General features: G+C 52.6%; 4 annotated features.

Annotated features, from left to right (window-relative positions):
- Positions 246-918: an enhancer, noted in NCBI's record as "H3K27ac-H3K4me1 hESC enhancer chr1:30328550-30329222 (GRCh37/hg19 assembly coordinates)". NCBI's record gives its function as "activates a minimal SCP1, AML or CMV promoter by ChIP-STARR-seq in primed H9 embryonic stem cells {active_cell/tissue: H9 hESC(primed)}" and the evidence as "EXISTENCE:reporter gene assay evidence [ECO:0000049][PMID:30033119]".
- Positions 432-632: a silencer, noted in NCBI's record as "peak148 fragment used in MPRA reporter construct". NCBI's record gives its function as "represses an SCP1 promoter by STARR-seq MPRAs in K562 erythroleukemia cells {active_cell/tissue: K562}" and the evidence as "EXISTENCE:reporter gene assay evidence [ECO:0000049][PMID:32103011]".
- Positions 919-1590: an enhancer, noted in NCBI's record as "H3K27ac-H3K4me1 hESC enhancer chr1:30329223-30329894 (GRCh37/hg19 assembly coordinates)". NCBI's record gives its function as "activates a minimal SCP1, AML or CMV promoter by ChIP-STARR-seq in primed H9 embryonic stem cells {active_cell/tissue: H9 hESC(primed)}" and the evidence as "EXISTENCE:reporter gene assay evidence [ECO:0000049][PMID:30033119]".
- Positions 2711-3210: an enhancer, noted in NCBI's record as "H3K27ac hESC enhancer chr1:30331015-30331514 (GRCh37/hg19 assembly coordinates)". NCBI's record gives its function as "activates a minimal SCP1, AML or CMV promoter by ChIP-STARR-seq in primed H9 embryonic stem cells {active_cell/tissue: H9 hESC(primed)}" and the evidence as "EXISTENCE:reporter gene assay evidence [ECO:0000049][PMID:30033119]".

Here is a 6625-nt window from a genome sequence, read left to right on the forward strand (position 1 = left end):
AATGAAGCTTAACTTCAGCCACTGGGAAAAAATAAAATAGCAAGAAGCATAAAGCCCCTGTGTAAATTCCACCCCAGCCCTCCCAAAACGGCCAGTCAGTTTTCACAGTAATTAGTCCAGAGGGTCTTAGTCAAAGACCCCTCCTTTAGCAACTGGCCACTTTTCACTTGTGAATAGATTTAATTTCCAGACTCTTGAGTGTTTTCTCGGAATTGACCTTCCCATGAAAAATATGCTTTGGAGACGTGAAATAACCAACAGAGAGCCTTAAATGAATTGCACTTCATCAAGCGGAAATAAACAATGCGCTTGAAATAGGCGCTACATGGGAAATGGAGGGCTGGGAGCTTCCCTGCGGACCAGGAGGGCGAGGTAAGGGACGCCACGCGGCTGAGCTTGTTCTTTCTACAGTGCCTTGGTTCACCAGGGAAATGTTACAAGCTAGATTATGTCTTCTGCTATGTGATGTGACATTTCCTGCTCTGTCCCTACCTTGGTTCTGTCTGAGTCATTCTCTTTCCCCCTGGGGAGTGATGGCTTTGCCTGGGAAGGGAGGTAGGGAGGGGCCCCACCCTCTGCCTCCTCCCTCCTGGGCCCCATCTGCTGAGGAATGAGCTCCAGAGGAGACATGGGGCAAAAGGGGGCCCAGGGATCCCAATTCCCCCTACCCAAACAAAATGTGTCAGGGTAGAGATAGATCACCAGAGACGAGAGAACTGAGAGGAAGCCCCTGCCCACCCATTCCTCGCACAAGGGGTCTGAGGAGGGGGCTCTGTTTCTCTAGATGCTCAGTTGCCAAGTGTTTGCCAAGGGCCAGCCTGTGCCCAGCTCTGAGCCAGGGCTGCAGATTTATGAAGAGCCAGAGCTCAGGAGACAAGGTTGGGGCACCCACAGCATCTGCTGCAATCTCTAGGAACATGGTTATGGACGGAGCATAACCATGGGCAGTGGGGGAGCCTCCACCCTTCAGCACCTCCTGCCTGGTGGCCAAGCCCCTCCTAGGTCTATAGCACACCCCACCATCTCCGCCTCTGAGCCCCAGGGCTGTTATTTCCTTAATGTGCCTGCTTTAATTATTATCTTCAAGGAGAGACTCAATCCGGAGATAAACACAAAAGACCTGCTGCTGACAGTGGAAGGCTCCTGCCTCCCTGGATGCAAACGGAGGGCCCGCTGCAGCCCAAGCATAACTTGGGCCTTAGAACCAGCAAACTCAGCTAAGTGCTGATACAGTGCAGTCCCGTGGAGACAAAAGTGTCCTCACACTGCTGCCAGGCCCTGCGTGTAGCTCTGGCACCCCCATGGCTGGGGAGTGGGCTGGGCTGGGCTTGGCTTTGCACTGTCCTGCCCATTGGCCCTCTGCTCTCTGCTCAGCTTTCCAGGCTCGGCTGCTGCTGTTGGTGGAATTGGGCATTTTATGTGCTTTGATAAGGCATCCCGGGCAGAGCTCTGGGAGGCTTGGCCTGGCTGTTCCTGCCTCTCTGGGGGAGCTCTGAGGAGGAGCTGGCTTTGAAGCAGCATGAGAAGCCTGCTAGTAAGATTTAACAGGCACGACCAGAATCCCAATACCACATCCCAGCAGGCACTAAGCAGGCCACAGATGTGTCACGGGCCCAGGTCAGCCACAATCTCAAGGGCTGTCATAAACTAAAGGCGCAGGGCTTGCTCAGCTGTGGAGGCCTGGGGTTGGGTTCCAAGAAAATACAGAGGCTTTGGAAATAACAGCCACTCTCACAGTCTGGACATGAGGGAACAGAGCAGGCTGGGCCCTGACAGGGTTTCCTGAACCCAAAGGAGAGCAGGCCATGGCCAGGGTCCAAGCTCTGTCACCTAAGAGCTCAGCTCTGCAACCACTGAGACCTGGCTTGCAATCCCAGCTCTTCCACCTCCTACCTGAAGGATCTTGGGAAAATGACCTGGCCTCTCTGAGACCCAGTTTCCGCAGCTGTATGATGGCTTCTGGGTACCTCCTATTTCAAGTTTATTTTCTCCATGTGAGGGCAGAGGTGAGGAAGCTCATGCCCTCATGGCATGGACTCTGGCTTCCCACGGGCATGGAGGACCCCCAAGCCCTGGACTGGGTGTCAGGAGGCCTTGGCTGGGGCACCTGCCCTGCCTGTGTCTGCTGTGTGGCACTAGACCTGAGGCACGGAACCCCTTGCCTGCTGCCCCCACAGACTTTTGAAGGGAAAAGGCCTGGCTCAGGGACGGAGGAGAATCGTGGCATCCTGGAGCTGGGGGAGACTTGAGGGCAATCCAGGCCCACCCACATCTCACAGGAGAGGAATCATCCAACACTCTCCCATCCTTAGGTGGTCCCCAGTCCCAGGGGTAACTAAGGGGCTGGGCAGGTTGGTCCAACCTGGTTCCCCCTGGCCGTTGAGACCCTCTGCTCCCTGCAACTGCTGCGACTCATCCTCTTCGCCTGCAGAGGCAGCTGGTGCTCTGTGAGGAAGACATTTTCTGGTACCAGAAAACTGTGGGAAAAAGCAGGAATCCTCCAGGGATGTTCCCCACATTGAATTATGCATGAAACAACCCAGCTTCCAGGTTTGCTGAGCTCACCCACCTTACTGCCCTGACCCTCTCCAGTCTCCACCACAATGAGATGACTTTTCCAATCAGCTTCGGCCCCTCTTGGGGTCACCTGAGTCAGATTGGCCGCTGCAGACATGGAAAGGGCCCTGCCAGGCTCCCCTGGCTGAACCGAGTGTTTCATGATCCTGGAGCACCAGAGGTAGTGGATGAGCCTTTGTCAACAGCTCACAGGGAATCTGGACAAGCAGGGTCCACCGGGAGAGATCCGAGCCCTGCTCGCTATCTTGGCCAGCAAGGCGAGGGCACAGCAGCAAGAAGGCAGGTGAACAGAACATTTATGCTCATCTTATGCTGGGTGCTGGCAACTGAGCAGCAAAAAGGCCATGTTGTAAACCAAAAAAAGCAACTGAGGCGCATCTCAATTTACATGTGTATTTTGCCAAGGTTGAGGGTGTGCTGGGGAAAATGAGACTCAAGCCACAGTAGGATCTGTGGTCTGAACTTTTTCCAAAGGGGATTTTAAGGGCTTCGATATTTAAGGGGAAAAAGCAAGCAGGAGGAGAAAGGAGGAAAGAACGAAAAAGAGGGACAGTGTGGTCACGTTCTTGCAGGGCCCTGATGAGCACTCACCAAATCCACACATTGCATGTGAAAAGGACAGGGTAGAGGAACAGTCCATTACGTATTTGTCTCTTGCTCAGAAAATCTGCACTTTCTATAAAATAAACATAGAATGGAGAAAGAAATCAAATATGTGTTCGTCTTGGGGTGGGTGGTGGCATGATTCCTAGTCTCCTCTTGGCTCACACCCATGAAAATAAGCTGTTATCATCATCAGGGAGAGGAAGGCCACCCGGGGAGACAAGTGGACTTCTATCTTGTAGCTATCTGTTTAGGAACACAGGAAACAGCCGTTTTTGCGTGACTCAGCTTCCAAGTTTAGCTTTTCCCTTTGGCATAGTGAGTTTGGGGTTCCGAGATTCTATTTTCCTTTCACAGTGTCCTTGTCTGGCTTCCAAAGAATTGAACTTAGTTCTCTGGTATTTTAAGGGGAAACATGAGTTCTAAAAGTATTATTTCTTATTTATAGGTGAGGAAACTGGGATTCACAGAGGTTGGGTAACCTGACTTAAGCCTGACATCTAGTAAGTGGCAGAGTGGGATGCAGAGCAAAGTGGGCTGTCTCCCGAGCTTATGCACCTCCCACTGTGAGATGCTGCCCAGGTCCCTGCACCTGCAGGATTAGGGAGATGTGCCTGTGAGGCACTGCCCGGGCCCCAGCACCTGCAAGACAGGGAGATGTACCTGTGAGACCCTGCCCAGGCCCCAGGACCTGCGCGATAGTGAGATGTACCTGTGAGGCACTGCCCGGGTCCCAGGACCTGCGTGATAGTGAGATGTACCTGGGAGGCACTGCCCGGGTCCCAGGACCTGCGGGACAGGGAGATGCACCCTGTGTGGGGAGCTGTTCGGCCCTGATGTAGGCTAAGGCATGTTATTGCAGAGGCTGCAGCAGCCCCTCCATTTACAACCGGGGAGGCAGGGGCCTTCCATTATCAGCAACAGGTCTTTTGTGTTTATCTCCTGATTGAGCCTCTCCTTGAAGATAATAATTAAAGCAGGCACATAAATGGGTTAAGGGGGTAACAGCCCTGGGGCTCAGAGCGGGAGAAGGCAGGGTATGGTGTAAACCTAGGATGAGCTTGGCCACCAGGCAGGAGATGCTGAGGGATGGAGGTTCCCCCACTGCCTAGGGCACTGCTTATGGGGAGGAGAGACCCCCAGTCTCATCCCTCAACTTTCCCTGGGGAGGATAGGAGGGGAGCAGGGGAGGGAGTCCTGGACGAGGAGTCAGGCCTACAGGGCTTCCCATCCTGGCCTCACCACTTCCCTGCTCTGTGACTTTGGACAAGTCACCTCTCCTCTCTGGGCTCTTTCCTCATCTGTAGGTGGGGATAGGGCTTTCATCAGCCCCTCCCTCTCAGGGTGGTTATGGGGATGAGCCCTACAGGCTGAACAAATGGACACTGGGAGGGGAGGGGCAGTGAGTGCAGTGGTCAGGGGCAGAGAGCTGGAGGCCATCACAGATCTGGGACTTAGAGCCAAACTGTGAGTTCATGCAAATTCTTCAATTTGGGCACAGTATTCTCACCACTGAGATCTTCATCCAAAGCTTTTAGCCTCCATAAATCATTTTTAATAACATACCACCTTGTAATTACTGCAGAGCCTCAAGAGAATAAGATGCACTTCAGACATCATGAACTAATTATTGTCAGGCAAGTCAGTCACAATCTGGGAGCAGGGCTGCATTTCATTCGGAGTCTTTGATTGCTCCTGGGCACTACCCTGGGGCTCTGGGTGACATTTACTCAGCAGAGCTCAGAGCTTATTACAGGTGTGTGTGTGAACAATGGCCAGGAAGGATTTATAGATGGGGAGGAGATTGCAGCTGGGGTTGTACCTGGAGGTTACACATCTCTGCAGACAAGGGCAGTGGGAGGGAGGGGACCTATGGCATCCCTTTGCTCTTTCCACAGGGGCCCGTAGGGTTCCTTAGGGTCATGTGGGTGACCTTGAGGTGGTGACTTAACCTTTCAGATCCTCAGTTCCTCTACCTGAAGAGGTAAGAAGAGGAAATAATAGCCCCAGGGCTCTTGGAGAAGAAGCAGCAGAGGGGTGTGGGCATGTGTAGACCTAGAAGGAAGGGCTTGGCTAACAAACCAATAAACTCTTCCTGACAGGGTAGTTGTGAGGGTCACAGGGTCAGGGTGATGGGAAGCTGTCAGCATGATGCCTGGTAGCAGGTGCTCAAATCTGTCAGTGCTGTTGACTTGAGTTGGGTTATTGAACTGGGGTGGGGCGTGATGTTGATGCAGGATTTTTCTTGGTCACTTTGCCAGCTGGGGACCTCTGGCTGGTGACGACCTTACTTGGGTCTTGCTTGGGCACACTACCTACTGCAGGAGGTGGTCCACCCATTTGGCCTGCCCTGGCCACACCTGGTTTGTGCATCAGCTCTGCCCACAGCTGGGCTGGGTGTGCCCCAGCCTGCCTGTGTTACAGCTCCTACCCACATTCAGTGGTTCCCAGATTCTTGTCCCCTGTCTAAGAAGAATGAGGATACACTGACAGTTGAAGGGTGAGGGGTGGAGAATAATTTTATTGAGTGACAGAACAGCTCTCAGGAGAGACAGGATGTGGGAGTGGTTCCCCACCTGAAGTTGGGTGGCTTCTTTCCCAGTGTGGCTGAGTCTGGGGCTTTTATGGACTCAGAATAGGGGAGTACATGCTGATTGCTTTGTGAGTACGCAAAAAAGGTTAAAACAAAAGCACTACTCAAAGGTGGGCATGACAGTGTAAAAAAACAATTAGGAAAGGACAGGTATATGTAAAATAGATGAAGGGTGGGGACCAATAAGAGGAAAGCATGCCAAATGGGAAGACAGGTTCTCAATCCAGTCTGTGGATTTGACTTGCAGGTTGGCTTTCAGGCTTTAAATTGTCTTTGGCTTGGGGTGAGGTTTCATCAGGGACCTGCCCCTATCTGCCTAGGCATTTGACTGCCTCCTGCCACTATCAGTGTGGCACCCCATGAGGGCTGCAATGGGGCAGTGGCAGAGGGATGGGTGGAGGTCAGGGTGCAGGTGAGGAACGACACATTGGAGAAAGAAGTGGAGGTTGGGATGGGTGGGTGCCTGGGAGTGTTTGGTGTGCCATGGACATTTCACAGCAGGATGTGAGATCTCTGCTTAGGGTCAACTCTTGCAAGAATCATGGAGGACACAAGGAGAAAGGGGTGGGGAGGAAACAGCTCATCTTTGGGGAAGAACATGCAGAATAGAAAAAGCAACTAGAATCAGAGTCAGGAGATGTGGGTTCTGGACCAGCCTCTATTGCTAAATTACTGTGTGACCTGGGGCAAGTCACTCACCCTCTCTGCAGTTGGTCTGCATATCTGAGAATGAGAAGATTTAACTATAGGATCTTTAAGACTCCTCTCAGCTCAGACCTTAACTCTATGATTCTGTATGATGCTTTCCTCACCCCCCTGCTAAAACCAGCCTCCTGACAGAGGAAGGCAAGT

The sequence above is a fragment of the Homo sapiens genome, chromosome 1, assembly GCF_000001405.40.
Source record: "Homo sapiens chromosome 1, GRCh38.p14 Primary Assembly".
Lineage (NCBI taxonomy): Eukaryota > Metazoa > Chordata > Mammalia > Primates > Hominidae > Homo > Homo sapiens.